Genomic DNA, 20,607 nt, shown 5'->3' on the forward strand with positions numbered 1-20,607 from the left:
AGCCTCTATCCTGAGGAATAGTGGTTCTGGGCAAGACAATCATCTCCCTAAGTGCTCACTTTTCCCAGTGAAAATGAGGAAAGACTATATAAATTAGTCAGTCAGTAGTTTATAAATGGAGAAAACATACCACACCACCTTCTCTTTACCCTCTACCGTGACTAATGGGTCCCAGAATACAGTTAAACCACAATACCATTTAAATCCACTAGTTAAGGTGGGCCTGGGCCCAATGGCCATTTCCATTTTTGATGTGACAGTGATTTATAAAATTAACTACATGTCTGGCCCCTCCAATTTTATCCTCAGATTTAAGTTCTTTGTGGGTAAGGACTATGGCTTATCTCTGAAACCCAGAACCCTACTAGACCAAAGCCACATAGAGAACACTTAATATATGTTTGTTGAATGACTATATTTAATATGTAAGTATGTTACACAGAAATCAAGCTTCCAGGGACTAGGGCTAATAAGTTGCTTTTTAACATTTACATATTACTTAAACAGATACAGTTTACTAAAAGTCATCTAGCACATATTCCGACATTTCATAAAACAAAAGTGAAAGACTGAGGCCGGGCGCAGTGGCTCATGCCTGTAATCCCAGCACTTTGGGAGGCCGAGGCAGGCGGATCACCTGAGGTCAGGAGTTCAAGACCAGCCTGGCCAACATGGCAAAACCCCGTCTCTAATAAAAATACAAAAAATTGGCTGGGCGTGGTGGTTCGTGCTGGTAGTCCCAGCTACTTGGGAGGCGGAGGCAGGAGAATCGCTTGAACTCAGGAGATTGAGGTTGCAATGAGCTGAGATTGTGCCACTACACTCCAGACTGGGTGACTAAGCGAGATTCTGTCTCAAAAAAAAAAAAAAAAAAAAAAAAAGAGGCAATTGCAGCTATTAATATCTGAAACAAAAGACATAGGATTTCTGACCTCAAGAAAGAAGTGAAGATATTAAGGGGCTGACATGTAATATTTTATCCTTAAAGATTCAGACGCTATTATAGGTATTTCATGTTTTGTAAACACAGATTTATTTGCTAGATATTGAAATAAACTACCTCTTTAGAACCCTGTTTTGAGATAATTCATACTTCTGAGTAACAACAATCCAACTCTTTAGATCATGATTGTTTTTAAGAGATTTCATACTTCTCAGTAATATCCATGATCCAGCCCAACTACGTTGGCTGATAACACAGTGGAGTAGGTCTGTGGGCCTTGTAACGTTAATCATCACTCATTTTGCCTATTCTTTTGAATTCTCATGTTTCACTGTGTTTAATTCTCTCCACTCTGTTTCAGCCCCCAGAAGCACTAATGCTATACACTTTTACACACACACACACACAGACACACACACACACACTCTCTCTCCCTGCTGTCTCTCTGTTCTCTCTCATTCAACACGAATCATCTTCAACTTAGCACTCAGTCCTCCCTCTAAACAAGTCAATCATATTATAAGGATCACCAAATAAGTCAATCATATTTATGTAAAGAATGACCCTAAACATTTCCAAAATTCTTATCTTATTGTGATATTCTAATATGTACTGTTATATTTACATTGCATTTTTCTGTTTAGACAGAGTCTCGCTCTGTCACCCAGGCTGGAGTGCAGTGGCACAATCTCAGCTCACTGCAACCTCCACCTCGCCAGTTCAAGCCATTCTTGTGCCTCAGCCTCCCAAGTAGCTGGGATTACAGGCATATGCCACCATGCCTGGCTAATTTTTGTATTTTTTAGTAGAGATGAGGTTTTGCCATATTGGCCAGGCTGGTCTCAAACTCCTGACCTCAAGTAATCTACCCCCCTCGGCCGCCCAAAGTGCTGGGATTACAGGTGTAAACCACTGCGACTGGCCTAACTTGTAATTTTTTAGTTGTGGTAAGATACACAAAATATAAAATTTACCATCATAAGCATACAGTCCTGCGGCCTAAGTATAGTCATACTGTCACGCTACCATCACCACCATCCATTCACAAAAATCTTATCATCTGGTAAAACTAAAACTCTGTATTTATGAAACTATTACTTCCCATTTCTCCCTCCTTGAGATTCCCTGGCAACCACCACTCTACTTTCTGTCCCTATGAATTTGACTACTCTAGGTACTTCATATAAGTAGAATCAAATAGTATTTGTCTTTCTGTGACTGGATTACTTCACTTAGCATAATGTCCTCAAGATTCATTCATTAAGTTGCAAATTTTAAGCTGATATGGGTTAAAAAAATTTTTCATAAAATCATGTGTGAACACTCCCAAATCTTTTTTGGAATTAATTTTTATGTGAAAATTTGCTTTTACTTATTATGATTTGCTAGGGTAGAGCAAAAATCTTCTGCCTAGGACAGCTCTTTTTGACGTAAAGAACTTAGTACTGCTGACCATCAAAAAAATGCTCTTAGCTGTGCCTTAGTAATACCCAGCCATATAAAGTTAAAGCTTAATTACAAATGGAGGCAGACATCATTAGCTTCTTTAAACATATCCTTACCCTTAAAAGATAATTGATGCCAATGGTCAATACTTAAATGATGCCAGAGCAATGGACAATGAGGTCCCATATGACAACCATTAAAAAAGGCCAGAAACAAAATTCCATGTATCATCAGTCTATATATATCACAAAGTCCCCCGAAATCAAACCTCATTATGATAGGAAACATTCCATGAACTGTCTCTTGTTTGATCAATATTAAGCAGATGTCTGTTAAACAGATAATGAAAGAGTTTTTAAAGTTGAATATGGTAGTCCTACCTACATTTTTCCAATAATAATAGCAATAATGCTGCTAATGAGCATAAATCATAATAGTAAAAATAATAATAAAAGCAAGCACTGTTTATGAATGTCTACTTTAGCACCTACTACATTCAAAAGCATTAAATGTTTCTGTTCCTCATATCAACACTGAAATATTATCATTATTACATTTTTAATGATGATGAAACTCAGACTTATGCAGATTGTTAAGGCCAAAATGTTAGAATTAGGATTCTGACTAGTTATTTCTGGCTCTAAATACCATGCCTTGGTATTTCTATTACTTCATGCTACCTCAGTGACTCCTAATCCATGGGTAAGGAGAGAATACAGACAAACCACCAAGAAAATCAAATTTGTGGTCCATTTTTGTTAATCATAGTATTCCGGCAAAGTGGCAAATGATATTACTGGAGAATTAGTACATATGATCCCTATTTAAAGCCTAAACAACGATTATAATAATACAGAGAGTAGGCTGGGCGCGGTGGCACACGCCTGTAATCCCAGCACTCTGGGAGGCCCAGGTGGGCGGGTCACAAGGTCAGGAGATCGAGACCATCCTGGCTAACACGGTGAAACCCCATCTCTACTAAAAATACAAAAAAATAAGCCTGACATGGTGGTGGGCGCCTTTAGTCCCAGCTACTCGGGAGGCTGAGGCAGGAGAATGGCGTGAACCTGGGATGTGGAGCTTGCAGTGAGCCGAGATTGCGCCACTGCACTCCAGCCTGGGTGACAGAGCGAGACTCTGTCTCAAAAAAAAAAAAAATAAGAATAAGAATAAGAATACAGAGAGTAATGCTGGCCTTGGCAGGCCTAATTAATTTATGGTAAATTTTAAATATCATCCAGTGAACAAATTTGTTAAAAAACAAATCACTCCTAGCCAGGCTAATTAAGAAGAGAAGGTATATAAATTACTAACAACAGAAATGAAAGAGGGGATATCAATACATATCTCATGGACATTAAAAGAATAATAACACTATGAACTACAATTTTGATAACCTAGATGAAATGAACTAATTCCTTAAAAGACACAATATACCAGCCAGGGGCGGTGGCTCACGCCTGTAATCCCAGCACTTTGGGAGGCCAAGGCGGGCGGATCACCTGAGGTCAGGAGTTCAAGACCAGCCTGGCCAACATTGGTGAAACGCTGTCTCTACTAAAAATACAAAAATGAGCCGGGTATGGTGGCGGGCACCTGTAATCCCAGGTACTCCAGAGGCTGAGGAAGGAGAATTGCTTGAACCCAGGAGGCGGAGATTGCAGTGAGCCGAGATCACGCCACTGTACTCCAGCCTGGGCAACAGAGTGAGATTCCATCTCAAAAAAAAAAAAAAGACACAATATGCCAAAACTCACACAAGAAGAAACAGAAAATCTGAATGGGCCTATATCTATTAAATAAACTGAATCAATAATTAATAACCATCCAAAAAAGAAAGCACTAGGCCTAGATGGGTACACTGATGAATTCTACCAAACATTTAAGGAAGAAATTAAACCAATTCTCGAAGAATGAGTTAGGAAGTGTTCCTTCTGCCTCATCTTTCGAAGACAGAAGCAGAAGGAACACTTCCTAACTCATTCTACAAGGCCAGCATTACCCTAATACCAAAACCAGACAAAGACATTGTAAGTAAAGAAAACTACAGACCAATCTCTCATGAACAATGATGCAAAATTCCTCAACAAAATATTAGCAAATCAAATCCAATAATGTACAAAAGAGAGTTATACAAAGCAGGTTCAACATCTCAAACTCAACTGATGTAATTGTGATGTTATAATTGGCCTCCAAACCCATTTCCTGACATACAACTCGTAACATCCTTGGAATCTCCAAAGAGAAGTCTTTTTGTATGCAAGCAAGTTGACTACTGGCTGACAGCCCCTAGGTATCTTTAAAATGGGGGTTGGTCACCAGAAAGACCAAGGCATGATTACAGGGTTGGGACTTTCAGCCCTATACCCCAACCTTTGGGGAGCGGAGAAGGGCTAAAGGTTAAGTTGATCACCAATGGCGAACAGCTTGGCTTAATCAATCTTGCATATGTAATGAAGCCTCCATAAAAACCCAAAGGTCTCGGTCCAAATAGCTTCTTGATAGCTGAACACATGGAGGTTCCTAGATGGTGGTATGCCCTGATAGGGCATGAAAACTCCTCATCCCTTCTCCCATACCTTGTTTTATGTATTTCTTCATTTATATCCTTTGTAATATCCCTTATAATAAACCAGTAAGCCTAAGTAAATGGTTGAGTTCTGTGAGCCATTCTAGCAAATTAATCAAACCCAAAGAGGTCGTCATAGGAACCCAAACTTTAAGCTGGTCAGTCAGAAGTTCTGGAGGGCCTAGACTTGCAACTGGTGTCTAAACTGGGGATAGTCTTGTGGGACTGAGCCGTCAACCAGTGGAATCTGATACTACAGATGGTGCCAGAATTGAATTGGAGGACACCATGGTGTTCAACGCAGAAGTGGTTGCTTGCTTGGTATATGGGGAAAACCCCCCCAACACATTTGGTCACAGAAGTCTTCTGTGATTATTGTTGTTGAGTAAGAGAATAGAAAAAACATTTTGGGGGCTGGGCGTGGGGGCTCAGGCCTGTAATCCCAGCACTTTGGGAGGCTGAGGCAGGTGGATCACCTGACATAAGGAGTTCGAGACTAGCCTGCGTGGTGAAACCCCGTCTCTACTAAAAATACAAAAAAATTAGCCGGGCATGGTGGTGGGCACTTGTAATCCCACCTACTGGGGAGGCTGAGGCAGGAGAATCGCTTGAACCCAGGAGGCGGAGGCTGGAGTAAGCAGAGATTGCAACACTGCACTCCAGCATGGGTGACAAGAGCGAAACTCCGTCTCAAAAAAAAAAAAGAAATAAAAAGCATTTTGGGTTTGAGTGTGTGTTTTCTCCTTAGTAACCCATCACATCAACAGGCTAAAGAAGAAAAGTCACGATCAATAGATGCAGAAAAAGCATTTGACAAAATCCAACACACATTCATGATTAAAAAAAAAAAAAACTCTATAAACTAAGAATGGAGGAAAATTTCCTCAGCTTGTTAAACAAATCTACAAAAATCCTACAGCTAACATCATACTCAAATGGTGAAAAACTCAATGCTTTCCCTTGTAAAATCAGGAATAATACAAGGATGTTCTCTTTCACCACTCCTTTTCAACATCTGGGAAGTCTTAGGTAATGCTGACACTGGAAGTTCTAGCTAATGCAATGAAACAAGAAAAGGAAATAAAAGGTATACAGGGTGAGAAGAAATAAAACTGTTCACATATGACATGATAATCCATGCATAAAATCCAAATTGAAACAATACTCCAAGAATAAGCAATTACAGCAAGTTTACAAGACACAAGATTAATATAAAAAATTCAAACACTTTCCCAGATACATGCAATGAACAAGTGGAATTTGAAATTAGAAATACAATACCATTTACATCAGCACCAAAAAATGAAATACATAGGTGTAAGTCTAACAAAATATGTGCAAGGGCTACATGAGGAAAACTACAAAACTCTGATGAGCAAAATCAAAGAACTAAATAAATGGAGAGATATTCCATTATAATTGACAGGAAGACTCAAAATTGTCAAGATGTCAGTTCTTCCCTACTTGGTCTCCAGATTCAATTCAATCCCAATCAAAATTCTAGCAAGTCATTTTGTGGATATAGACAAACTGATTCTAAAGTTTACATAGAGAGGCAAAAGACTCAGAATAGCTAACACAATATTGAAGGAGAAGAACAAAGCTGCAAGACTGATGCAACCCAACCTCAAGAGTTATTATAACACTACTATAAATAAGAGAGTATGGCATTGGTGAAATAATAAATAAATCAATGCAACAGTGGAGGGCCCAAAAGTATATAAATATAGTACATAAATATAGTCAACTGATCCTTGACAAAGGAGCAAAGACAATACAGTGGAGAAATAATATTCTTTTCAACAAATGGTATTGAAACAAATGAACATCCACACGCAAAACAATGAATCTAGGCATAGACCTTATACCGTTCACAAAAATTAACTCTAAATGGCTCACAGGCCTAAATGTAAAATAAAACTCCTGGAAGAAAACACAAGAGAAAATCTGTATGACCTTGAGTATAGTGATATCTTTTTAGACACAACACCAAAGGCAAGAGCTATGAAAGAAATAATTGACAAGATGGACTTTACTAAAATTAAAATTTTCTGCTCTGCAAAAGACAACGTCAAGGGAATGAAAAAACAAGCCACAGACATGGAGAACATAGTTGCAAAACACACATCTGATAAAGGACTATTATTCAAAATACACAAAGAACTCCTTAAACTCAACAGTAAGAAAATAACCTGTTTAAAAAAATGGACCAAAGAACCTCACCAAAGAAGACATATGAATGGCAAAATAAGCATATGAAAAGATTTCCGCATAATGTCATCAGGGAGATGCAAATTAAAACAACAGTGGCCAGGTGAGGTGGCTCACACTTGTAATCCCAGCACTCACTTTGGGAGGCCAAGGCAGGCAAATTACTTGAGCCCAGAGCTCGAGACCAACCTGGGCAACATGGAGAAACCCAATCTCTATAAAACATACAAAAACTAGCCAGACATGGTGGCTCATGTCTGTAATCCCAGCTACTTGGGAGGCTTACTTAGGAGGATCACTTGAGCTCAGGAAGTGGAGGTTGCAGTGAGTGGAGATTGTGCCACTGTAATCTAGCGTGGACAACAGAGCAAGACCCTCTCTCAAAAATAAATAAATAGATAAATAAAACAAAATATTAGATTGAAGCAAAAGTAATTGCGGTTTTGCCATTAAAAGTAATCTCAACACTTTGAGAGGCCGAGGTGGGCTTGAGCCCAGGAGTTCGAGACCAGCCTGAGCAACATGGCAAAACCCCATCTCTACTAAATATATAAAAAATTAGCTGGGCTTGGTGGTGTGCACCCGTAGTCCCAGCTATTCAGGAGGCTGAGGTGGGAGAATCACCTTAGCCTGGGAAGTTGAGGCTGCAGGGAGCCATGATTGCACAGTCCAGCCCGGGCAGCAACAGGAGTGAGACGCTACCTTTAAAAAAAAAAAAAAAAAAAAAAAGACGGGGGAGAGGAAGGGAGGGGAGGGCAGGGGAGGGGGGGAGAGGGAAGGAGGAAGGGAGGATGGATGGACAGACAGACAGATGATTATACACCTAAAGGAAAGAAAGAAAGACTACTACACACCTAAAAGAATGGCCAAAATCCAGAACATGGACAAGTACTCAAATGCTGGGTGGATGTGGAGCAACAGGAACTCTCACACATTGCTGGTAGAAATGCAAACTGGTACAGCCACTTTGGAAAACAGCTGGCCATTTCTTACAAAACTAAACATACTCGTACATATGATTCAGCAATGTGACTCCTTCGTATTCACCCAAAAGACCTGAAAACTATGTCCATACAAAAACTTGCACACAGATGTCTGTAACAGCTTTATTCTTAATAGCCAAAACTTGGAAGTAAAACAGATATTTTTCCATATGTGAATGAATAAACTGTGGTACATCCCAACAATGGAGTATTACTGAGCACTAAAAAGAAATGATAGGCCAGGCGTGGTGGCTCATGCCTGTAATCCCAGCACTTTGGGAGGCCGGGGCGGGTGGATCACCTGAGGTCAGACATTAGAGACCAGCCTGGCCAACATGGTAAAACCCCACTCTACTAAAAATACAAAAACCAGCAGGGCGTGGTGGTGCACACCTGTAATCCCAGCTACTCAGGAGGCTTAGGCAAGAGAATTGCTTTAATCGCTTGAACCCCGGAGGTGGAGGTTGCAGTGAGCTGAGATCATGCCACTGCACTCCAGCCTGGGCAACAGAGCGAGACTGTGTCTCAAAAAAAAAAAAAAAAAAAAAAAAAAAGATAAAATAGATTTAGAGGTTCAACAAAAAAGTCTGAACATTTAAAAATTAAAAAAAAAAAAGAAAGAAAAAGAAAAAGAAATGAGCTATCAAGCCATGAAAAGACATGGAGGAAATTTAAACACATATCACTGAGTGATGGAAGTCAATCTGAAAAGGCTACATACTATATGATTCCAACAATATGATATTCTGGAAAAGTCAAAACTATGAAGACAACAGCACAAAGATTAGTGGTTGCCAGGGGTTGAGGGGAGGATGACTAGGCAAAGTACAAAAATTTTTAAGGCACTGAAAACTGTATGATACTGTAATGGCATATATTGATGTATCATTGATTATGATAAAATGTGTACATCATTATATATTGTCCAAACCCTTAGAATATACAACATCAAGAATAAATGTTAATTGCAAACTATGGACTTCGGGTGATTATATGTCAATGTAGGTTCATCAGTTGTAAAAAATGTACCACTCTGGTGGGGTTAATAATGGGGGAGGCTATGCATGTGTGGGTACAGGAGGTATGTTGGAAACTCTTTACAGTCCTCTCAATTTTGCTGTGAACTTAAAACTGCTCTGAAAAAATACTTTAAACACACACCCAAACATACATCACCCAACACAGATTCAGCAACTTAAATCTTTGGCTAGGAAAGGATTCCCATCCATTGTTTAAAACAGGGAAGGAAACGCTGGTAAAACCATATATATTCATTAGAACTTCTTAAAACTTACTAAGGCTATCTGACACCTACTATATGGCTTATAATTTTGTGATTTTTCTTTTTTTTCTTTTCTTTTTTTTTTTGAGATGGACTCTCCCTCTCTGTCACCAGGCTGGAGTGCAGTGGTGAGATCTCAGTTCACTGCAACCTCTGCCTCCCGGGTTCAAGCAATTCTCCTGCCTCAGTCTCCCGAGTAGCTGGGATTACAGGCACGCACCACCACGCCCGGCTAATTTTTATATTTTTAGTAGAGACGGGGTTTCACCATGTTGGCCAGGATGGTCTCGATCTCTTGACCTCGTGATCTGCCCGCCTCGGCCTCCCAAAGTGCTGGGATTACAGGCGTGAGCCACCACGCCCAGCCTATTTTGTGATTTTCTTCTTTGCCATAACTATCAAAGATTATGTGAAACCAGAATATGTGACTTTTCCAACCAAGTCTGATGCTTGTCTCCTAAATAAAAATAGTCACCATTCTAAAAAATTTGAATTGGATCCTCCCTAACGCCTACAAATCTACTTTGTGCCAAGAATCAGGCGGAACAGATGGATGATTAATATCTCCTTTGTACCAATTTCAGAGAGTATAAATTGACTACAAAAAGGAACTTTATAAGTCACCAATTCTGAGTGAATGAGTATAATCTGTTTCTTTCAATGTACATTCTTATGTTTAATGTAATTAATATGACTTCAGAAGAGATAAGGAAGAGTTTCCCTGGGTTCATTCTAAACCAAAATTCACAAGGTTGACCAAAGTATACATAAGAATAAATCAATCTTCATTGCCAGGCAACAGGAGGGAAAATATTCTAGAAAGAAGAAACTTATGTACTTGCATCTTGGAGACTATAAAATATATGAGTTCATGGCTGGCTACAAGAACTTCACAATCATCCACAGCACTCTAAGACTGTAAAATTTAAAAACATTACAAAAGATATTCAATGGTTCTATTCATCTAATATTCTTTTGGTAGTCTATATTCTCCCATAATAAATTTTTCAAAAATATTCATTGTTTAATTATAGCATTAATGGAAAGAGAAAACTTAGGACAACCATGATGGAAAAATCCTTCATGATGACATGAACCAAGCAAAATCTCCTGTGTTTAGATCTATTGTTTTCAAAAAAAACTCCTTTATAGTTTTCTTAAACACCTACCTCTTGTAGAACTGGGATAACAGGTGGCTTTCTCTGCTGCAGAAAGTACAGCACCATAAGGATATATGCATATGAAGATAAACTTCCCCTGGAAGCATCCCCAATGTCACATCGCTAAAAAACAACATGATTGAAAACAAAACTTCAGAGTCTTACTCCATGCAGAAGTATATTAAACATTCTGCCACATCATTTTTTTTAACCCACAGAACTGGGTTAAACTGAGTTAAAAACAAACTGCACCGTCTATAATCCCAACACTCTGGGAGGTTGAGGTGAAAGAAAAGCTTCAGCCCAGGAAGTCAAGACCAGCCTGGGTAATGCAGTGAGACCCCATCTTACAAACAAACAAACAAACAAAAAACTACTATACATGACGTGGGGAAACAGGTACTCTCACACACTGCAGGTGAGAGTATAAATTAATACAAACACTATGAAGAATATTTGACAATATCACAATTACAAAAGCACATTTTCTTTGAACCAGCAATCCTATTCTAAGAATGTACCCTGCAAACATGCCAAAACATATGTGAAATGACTAAGAAGGTTTTTTTAATTGCAGCACTATTTTAATAGCAAAAAATCAGAAATAGTTTTAGGTTCATCAATAAAGTGCAGGCGCAGGTTTAAAATAATTAACGACTATTCACATAATGGAATGGTATGCAACCATTAAAAAAAGAACGAAGTCCCCTGATGGTCTCGTGGTTAGGATAAACATCTTTTTTAATAAATAAAAAACAAAGAACAAGGGGCTAACACGGTGAAACCCCATCTCTACTAAAAATAAAAAAGTTAGCCGGGTGTGGTGGCGGGCGCCTGTAGTCCCAGCTACTCGGGAGGCTGAGGCAGGAGAATGGCGTGAACCCAGGAGGCAGAGCTTGCAGTGAGCCGAGATAGCACCACTGCACTCCAGCCTGGGCGACAGAGCGAGACTCCGTCTCAAAAAAAAAAAAGAACAAGGAAGCCAGACATGGTGGCTCATGCCTGTCATCTCAGCACTTCGAAAGGCTGAGGAGGGTGGATTGCTTGAGCCCAAGAGTTCAAGACCAGTCTGGGCAACATGGCGAAACCCCATCTCTACAAGAAATACAAAAAATAGTTGGGCATGGTGGCACACGCCTGTAGTCCTGGCTACTCAAGAGGCTGAGGTAGGAGGATCAATTGAGCCCAGGAGGTCAAGGCTGCAGTGAGCTGTAATCACACCACTTTACTCCAGCCTGGGCAACAGAGTGGAATCCTGCCTCAAAAATAAAAATAAAGGCTGGGGGTGGTGGCTCACGCCTCTAATCACAGCACTTTGGGAGGCCGAGGCGGGCGGAGGAGGTCAGGAGTTCAAGACCAGCCTGGCCAACATGGCAAAACCCCGTCTCTGCCAAAAATACAAAAATTAGCCAGGCGTGGTAGCAGGCACCTGTAATCCCAGCTACTCTGGAGGCTGAGGCAGGGAAAACTGCTTGAATCTAGGAGGTGGAGGTTGCAGTGAGCCGAGATTGTGCCACTGCACGCCAGCCTGGGTGACAGAGAAAGACGCCATCTCAAAAAAACATGAAATTAAAATAAAAATTAAAAAAATATAGGGGAGGGGGGAGAGGAGAGGGAGGAGGAATGAAACCTGAAAGAATCTTCAGAGACTTCTTCCCTTGAGCAAGGATTTAGCTTATATCTATATTTAAAGGGAAAAGGGGTGATTTAATTAACAGAATTCTATGTAGTTATAACAAAACTGTCATGTTAGAGTTACCTTGTTAGGTGAATCTAGAAAAGTAGGCATATCAAGTCTTGTATGTAGTATGTGCCTCTATGCTTTTCTAAGATACACTCTTGTCTAGAAAGACATGTACAGGAATATCTTTAAAAATATGATTTCCAGTCAGGCACAATAATCCCAGCACTTTGGGAGGCCGAGGCTGGAGGATCACTTGAGGTCAGGAGTTTGAGGCCAGCCTGGCCAACATGGTGAAACCCCGTCTCTACTAAAAATACAAAAATTAGCCAGGCATGGTGGTGAATGCCTGTAATCCCAGCTACTTGGGAGGCTGAGGCAGGAGAATCGCTTAAACCCAGGAGGCGGAGGTTGCAGTGAGCTGAGATCCCACCACTGCACTCCAGCCTGGGTGACAGAGTGAGACTCCATCTCAACAACAGGAACAACAACAACAACAACAATAGCCTTCCTATTAGAAAGAGGAAGCTTTATGAAATGAAAATCTGACCAACTTTCTCCCCTACTAAAACTCTTCCACTAACACATTAATAAAATTAATCATTCCACTGAGCAGCTACCACAAAGCAGGCACTACAATGAACTAGAGAAACAGAGGTTCCTGTTCTCACCTAGTTTACACAATTAGCAAAAGAATGAGAAAACTAAATTCAATGTCATAACAAGTGTTATAATAGGAGAAGCGTAAGGTATTATTGGTATTGTTTTGTTTTCTGGGTCAGAAAAACTTATCACTAAACTCAAATATAAGATTTCTTAACTCAGAAATTCTTAACTAGGATGATATGCCAACTCCCATGCCTGGGGCTAAAATCACTGCATTGAGAAATGTTACTGCTGAGAAACTGACTAGTCAGTTGCACATGGGAATAGAATACATACAGGAAAAAAAGACAGAGCCACCCTACTCTGATAGGTATCTATTCAAGCTATATAATACTGAAAGTTTCTTTTTTAAAAGCTCAGATAAACAAAACTGAGACAAAATTTTTCACAAATCTGACATTAGTTATGTTTCATTTTAATTATCATGAACAAAGCAGATCATTAATTTTTTCATAAATACCTTAGCAAACACTTTCATAGTATATCCCAAATACTGCACTCTAGGATCAATAGCTGCATAAGTAGCTAGCATTCTTGTGTTATGTTGAGCCTGAAAAATAATTACATATTTGAAAGGATTTCAAATTTCGTAAAATTAAACTACAAATCAGATTTAAAAGTAAAATACACTCCAAATACAAAATATATAAATGTAAAATGTAAAACACCTATTAATGAGTCAAACAAAAACTGACCTTCAATCTGAAGGAACTATCAAGATAACTAGTAAAATACTTTTTCCTTATACTGTTCACATTTGAAAGTTTTAAACATAGAGTCAGTAATCTGTAAACTTTTAAAATGAAAAGTATATACATGGCCTATAAAGATAAACTTACCAACGTATTATATAAACTGATATCGCCTTCTAACCCACTTCGCCTGTGTTCAAATTTTACTATAGGCACTTTGGCAGTAGTTATAGGCAAAATGTTTCTTAAACCTAATTTAAAAAAAAAAGACTTCAGTAGGTTAAATAATTTTCATATATGCTAAAAAAATTTATTTTGTTTTACAGATAAGATTCAAAATTCATACCTGGATGTCTCTTAAGAATTTTTGCCAAATTTTCAATTATTTCCTTACAATTTAATTTCTAAAAAACAAATCAAATAAATAAGTTTGACTCAATTTCACCTTGTGCAAATTCTACTTTAATCTAAGCATTTAATAGTAGCATTTACAATTTCCAGCCATAAAGCTCTATAATAACCTTGCTACTCCAAGTAAGTGATTCATAGACCTACAGTATCAGCATAATCTGGAAACTTGATAGAAATGCAGAATCTGAGGACCCTCCCCAGTCTACTAAATCATAATCTGCATTTTAACAGGATCCCAAGGTAATTCACATGCAGATTAAAGTTTGAGAAGCACAAAGACAGGAGAAGAATATGGTTTTCAATAAGTGAATAAACAACTAGAGGTGAGTTTGGTGAGGGCAAAACAATATACTGATTAAGTACATAGGCTCCAAATTGAGACAAACCTGGATTCAAATCTTTTTTTTTTTTTTTTTTTTCTTTTTTTGAGACGGAGTCTTGCTCTTTCGCCCAGGCCGGAGTGCAGTGGTGCTATCTCGGCTCACTGCAAGCTCTGCCTCCCGGGTTCATGCCATTCTCCTGTCTCAGCCTCCCGAGTTGCTGGGACTACAGGCACCCGCCACCGTGCCCGGCTAATTTTTTTGTATTTTTAGTAGAGACCAGGTTTCACCGTGTTCACCAGGATGGTCTCGATCTCCTGACCTCGTGATCCGCCCGCCTCAGCCTCCCAAAGTGCTGGGATTACAGGCGTGAGCCACTGCACCCAGTCTCAAATCTTAAACTAAGTATTGATTAGCTGTGTGACTAACCAGATGTTTAACCTCTCTGAGCATTACATTACTATTCTATAAAATCAAGATAATCATAAACTCCTGTCCTGCAGAGCTGTTGGGAGGATTACATGAGACATGTATGTAAAGCACTCAGCAGAATGCCTGGCACAAAATAAGCCTTTAAATCTGTGAGTTATTTATTATAATTATGTTGATATGGAAAAGAAAGATACTCCTATTATCACCAGCACCTATTTCTCCAAGGAAATTCTTACCTCTGTAAATTTAAATGTGTTACTCTTGTAAAAACCAGAGACAGCAGAGTTGGTATGGTAATGATAATCATAATACATAATGATTATGGCATTAAAAATTAACTGGAAATAGCTGAAGGGTATAAACATCAATCCCAAGAGTTATAAAGTCATTTGCATTTTTCCAACATGTTCTTTTTAGCTACATGAGAGCAGGAGCCATTGCAGCTAAACCAAAGGATTTCAAAGAAACCATTAGTTACTAATTCACATATGATAAAATTAACAAAGGAGGTAATTTTTCTCTTTATTATTCAACGATACAATTATGCTAATCTTAAAAGTTTCAATTATGGCTCATCTGAAAGAAAATGATTTATTATTTTCATTGTTTCAACTTCCCAGTAGGAATGGCACAGATTATATATAATATACAAACCCTTAGTGATTAGAAGTTTAATAAATTTTACATAGAAGATATCTAAAACTCTAACCTCTTTCCTGGGTATAAAAATCATTTCCTATTCCCTCAATTCTTACTCTTCAGAATGGAGAAGGGCAGCCACTTTCCAAGTAGGTGGCTCTAAGCAGAATTTAAGTAAAGGAGAACAAATAAAATACTTGCAACTTTTCAGTTTCTTTATAAAACAAGATGTTAAGACACCAGAAGCAACTTCTTATGGCCAGAAGTTAAGTCATCACTGCCATCTTTACTCCGGGTCTAACAATTTCAAAACCACCGTTCAAAAGAATGATTTTAGAAAAGCACACTATTCTGCTGAATTCTTTTATAATGTAACAGAGGCGATACTGACACCACTACAGATGCCAGAAGCTGGGCCTCACCCCAATCTTGCAAACAGTCCCGCATTTTGAAACATAAATAACAATAGCTAGGCTGGTAAAGGACTGAACATCTACAAGGATACCCTCCTTTGCTAGTTGCTGTTGAGAAGGCCTGGGACACTTCTTCCCTGTCCAATCAGTCTTTTTCTTCCCTGGAGCTTGGACAATCTCCTTCCCACTATTAAGGCCTGGTATACAAAAAAGGAAAGCGTAAGTACCCACTCTTACTGCTGAAATTGCACTTGGGGAAGGTCTGCTCCTGGCATCTCACGGTGGAACTCAGAAAGCTATCAGTTTCAGAAAGCAGTGGTTAGGTTCTACAGTACTATTAGTACTATATTTCAGCTACATTATGGGTTAAAAAAATTACAGAGAGGCAGTGAGATACAATGGAAAGAGCATGAACTCTGGAGTCAGACAGACCTGGGTTACGAATCCCGGCTCCAACAATTACTAGCTGTGTGAACTTGGACAAGTCAGTTTATCTTTCAAAGCCTCAGTTTCCTCATCTGTAAAATGGGGGAAATAATACCTACCTCGAAGGTGGTTGTAAGAATGAAATGAGATAATGTATGTAAAAGTGTATACTGGGAACTCAATAAATGTTAGTTCTCCTCCCCGCCCAAAATGAGTTTCTAAAAGCTATCTTAGCATTTTATTTATTTATTTTTTTTTTAATTTTCTGAGACGGAGTCTCACTCTGTCACCAGGCTGGAGTGCAGTGGCGTGACCTCGGCTCACTGCAACCTCCGCCTCCTGGGTTCAAGCGATTCTCCTGCCTCAGCCTCCTGAGTAGCTGGGACTACAGGCGCGTGCCACCATGCCCAGCTAATTTTTTTTATTTTTCGTAGAGACGGGGTTTCACCATGTTGGCCAGGAGTGTCTTGATCTCTTGACCTCATGATCCGCCCACCTTGGCCTCCCAAAGTGCTGGGATTACAGGCATGAGCTACCACGCCCAGCCCTTAGCATATCATCTGTAACATTGCTTCTATGGAAAAAATTTTATGTGAGTGGTCAAAAATTATAACTAACTTTTAGAACAAAACCAATTATAAATTAGATGACCACCTATATTTACTACCTATAGTAACACAAAGACATCATCTAATGAAAGAGATATGAGAAGACAAAGTATGAAAGATCAATGTTCACTACAAAACTGATGCATCAGCTTCCCATTGGTTCTAGTGAAAAAATTCCAACTTCGTGATATATTTTTTCCCAAAATTCATTACAAATCACTGTAACTCTCAGTGACATGGTTTTTGTATCATAAAATTACTGAAACACTTTTACTTAAGAGTTCAATGTCTTCTAAACTGAAAATGCTACTGTTTTCATATTTCAAACACTTATTTTGCTAATATATTTATACAAAGAGTGATACCACATTTTTATCAATATCACATACAAAAATAAACATAGAATCGTCATTGGGAGAAAATAAACTTACATAACGCTTTCCAAACACTCTTACCTCTGCATTTTCATGGCCTTCCAGGGTCATACAAATATCCAGATCACTATCACGAAATCCAAATCCATTCTTAGAAGAGCCAAATAAGCACAACCTTGCCTTTTCTAAGCAAAGGAAAACAAAGTCCAAGGCCTTATTATAAGCAGAGAGGAGGAGTCTTCTGCTATCTGCTGATGACCTAATACAACATGCTCTTGTCCATTTCTATGATTTAAATTACCTACCACTGGAAGAAATACTGAGAAATTCCAAAACATCTTGAGCCCAAGCTTTTGCCCAAGTTCCCATACCCATGTACCCAACTGCTTTTTCCAATTTTCCACAGACATCATACATTCAACACGTCTGAACTATCAACTTTGCCCCAAATCTATTACTATTTCTATTATCCCTGTTCTTAGCAAATAGTACCATCATGTACACAGATGCCCACATCAGAAATACAGGTGCAATCCTTAATATCTGTCTCTCAATGTCCACATCCAAACAATCATTGAGACTTTTAGCTTTTTCCGACTTACATAATAAATCCATCTGCTTTTATACATTCTCAACATCACTACCAATAGTTAAGATCAATATTTGAGGACTGCCCTCTTAAAAATAAATTAGTTCTTTCAAAGCACAATTCATGTAGGTTTACAAATATCACCTTAGTATACGATGCTCTTCCAAAAATGAGTGATTATAGTCCACTTGATATAAATTATGATAGGGTTAACCCTTCAGACTCAGTGTCATCCAATAACAGCTACCATTTCAAATAAGCTGTGGTTTAACAGAATTGGATTTTTCTTCCTATTACTTTTTTTTTTTTAGAGACAGGGTCTTGCTATATTGCCCAGGCTAGAGTGCACTGGCTATTCACAGGCACAATCATTATACACTACAGTCTTGAACTCCTTGCCTCAAGCAATACTCCCACCTCAACCTCCCAAGTGGCTGAGATAACAGGTGTGTGCCACTGGGCCTGGCTCTTCCTATTAATTCTAAAGTAGACTACACATTTATAGGACACTTTATACTTTCAAAACTTCATACCCCCATCCAGTTCTGATGCTCTACTTGAAATTTCAATGATAGCTGAGAGGCAAAAAAGAAGCTATACTCATCAGCAAATAAAACTGAGCATGATTTTATATAATAGAGACTTAGATTTGGTCAATACTTTATATACTCCTATAATCCCAGCGCTTCAGGAAGCCAACCAATGTGGGAGGATCGTTTGAGACCAGGCTGGGCAACATGGTGAGACTTTGTCTTTACAAAAATTTTTTAAGATAAAAAAGAAGGCGAGGTGCGGTGGCTCATGCCTGTAATCCTAGAATTCTGGGAAGCTGAGGTGGGTGGATCACTTGAGTTCAGGAGTTTGAGACCTGCTTGGAAAACATGGTGAGACTCCATCTCTACAAAAAATAATGTGCTGGGTGTGGTGGCGCGCACCTGTGGTCCCAGCTACTCAGGAGACTAAGGTAGGAGGATCGCTTGAGCCTCAGAGGTCAAGGCTGAAGTGAACCCTGATCACATGATTGCACCACTGCAGTTGAGCCCGGGTGACAGAGTAATATCCTATTTCAAAAAAAAAAAAAAATATATATATATATATATATATATTTTTGAGACAGAGTTTCGCTCTTGTCGCCCAGGCTGGAGTGCAAAGGCATGACCTTGGCTCACTGCAACCTCTGCCTCCCAGGTTCAAGTGATTCTCCTGCCTCAGCCTGAGTAGCTGGGACTACAGGCGTGTGCCACCACACCCAGCAAATTCTTGTACTTTTAGTAGAGACGGGTTTTGCCATATTGGCCAGACTCGTCTCGAACTCCTGACCTCAGGTGATCCACCTTCCTCAGCCTCCCAAAGTGCTGGGATTATAGGTGTAAGCCACCGCACCTGGCCAAAAAAAATATTTCTTAATAAAAAATAAATTAGCTAAGCATGGTGGCACACACCTGTAGTCCTAACGACTTGGGAGGCTAAGGCAGGAGGATTGCTTGAGCCCGGAAGTTTGAGGCTGCAGTGAGCTATGATCATGCCACTGCACTCCAGTCTGGGCAACAGAGTGAGAACCTGTCTCTAAAAAACAATAATGATGATATGATTTTTTAATTTAAAAAATATTTGTTTTCAAATACTTTTAATTGTAATATGTAGCACATAATGGGTCATCTTGTAAAAGTACAAATTCATTCTGATTAAAGTCAACTTTTATCCTTTTCTAAAATATTTAGTCACAAAAATCTTGATTCTTCATCCCCATGCCCAAAACTTACTCTTCCTGCTCTTTGCCATCTCAGTTATATAGGACCACCTACTGTAACTGTTATAGCAAAAACCTTGAAACCATCCTTGATTTCTTTCTTTCTCTCATGCCTCACATTTTCCATCAGCAAATCCTATTGGTTCTACCTTCAAAATATATCCCAAATCTGACCACTTCTCATCTACTCTGGACTCACACAACAGCCTCCTAAATGTTCTGCTTGCTTCCAGTCTTATAGCCCAGCAAACCATTCACTCAGATCATGTCATTTATTAACTAAAAATCCTCTAAAAGATTCTCATTAGGTACTCAAAATAAAATTCAAAGGCTTTCTACCAACATCCATAAGGCACTAATGACTTAATCCCTAGACCCCCTCTCTGACCTCTTCTATACATTACAATCTACCTCTAATACTCCACTCCAGCCACACTGACTTCCTGGCTATTCCTCAAATATGCCAAACATAATCTATTCTTGTTCCATCAACAATGTTTTCTCCTTGGATATTTATATAACTTGCTCCTTCATGTTATTCAGGATTCTCCTCAAATGCTACCTTATGAGAGAGGCCTATCATAACACTCCATCACTTCAGTTCTTTTATCTCCTATACTTTTAACAGCATGTATTATTTGCTGATATAATATTATATATTTATTAGTCAACTATTTGTCTCCCCATTTGAAACATAAGCTTCATGAGGTTTCATCTCTTTTATTAGCACTGTATTCCCAGCAACTAGAACAGTACTTAACACATAGCATTCAATAAATATTTTTAAATAAATGAAACTCAAGACTACATGACTACAGCAAAAACGCAATAAATTTTTTAACCTATGACATACCATCATATTCTTTTTGAATAAACTTTTCCAAGCCAATTAAAATTTGCTCCCTGTTGTGTTGTTCAGAACAAGGTGGTGATAACTCATCTGGGTTTATAAAAAGAAGAAAAAAGGAAAAAGAAAAGTAAGGAAAACAGAATCTGAAAACATCTTCAAGTT

The 20,607-nt window shown here is 38.8% G+C and overlaps 1 protein-coding gene across 51 annotated transcripts in view; it reads right to left on the reverse strand.

The window, feature by feature from the left end:
• The window catches only part of TUT4 (terminal uridylyl transferase 4), a 130,189-nt gene that overhangs the window by 24,458 nt on the left and 85,124 nt on the right, over positions 1–20,607 (reverse strand). For 26 of the 51 annotated variants that reach the window (XM_017000804.3, XM_047416324.1, XM_047416327.1 and 23 more), the window contains 6 exons: positions 20,449–20,535; positions 17,338–17,441; positions 13,980–14,037; positions 13,781–13,884; positions 13,402–13,491; positions 10,604–10,717 (listed from right to left, as the gene is read on the reverse strand). In XM_017000804.3, the coding sequence (XP_016856293.1) occupies positions 10,604–10,717; positions 13,402–13,491; positions 13,781–13,884; positions 13,980–14,037; positions 17,338–17,441; positions 20,449–20,535 (557 nt within the window). Of the gene's footprint in view, positions 1–10,603; positions 10,718–13,401; positions 13,492–13,780; positions 13,885–13,979; positions 14,038–15,505; positions 16,046–17,337; positions 17,442–20,448; positions 20,536–20,607 lie in introns of those variants that run through there. The other 25 variants (XM_047416421.1, XM_047416417.1, XM_047416413.1 and 22 more) reach the window with 3 other exon arrangements.

Source organism: Homo sapiens, chromosome 1 (genome assembly GCF_000001405.40).
Source record: "Homo sapiens chromosome 1, GRCh38.p14 Primary Assembly".
Classification (NCBI taxonomy): domain Eukaryota; kingdom Metazoa; phylum Chordata; class Mammalia; order Primates; family Hominidae; genus Homo; species Homo sapiens.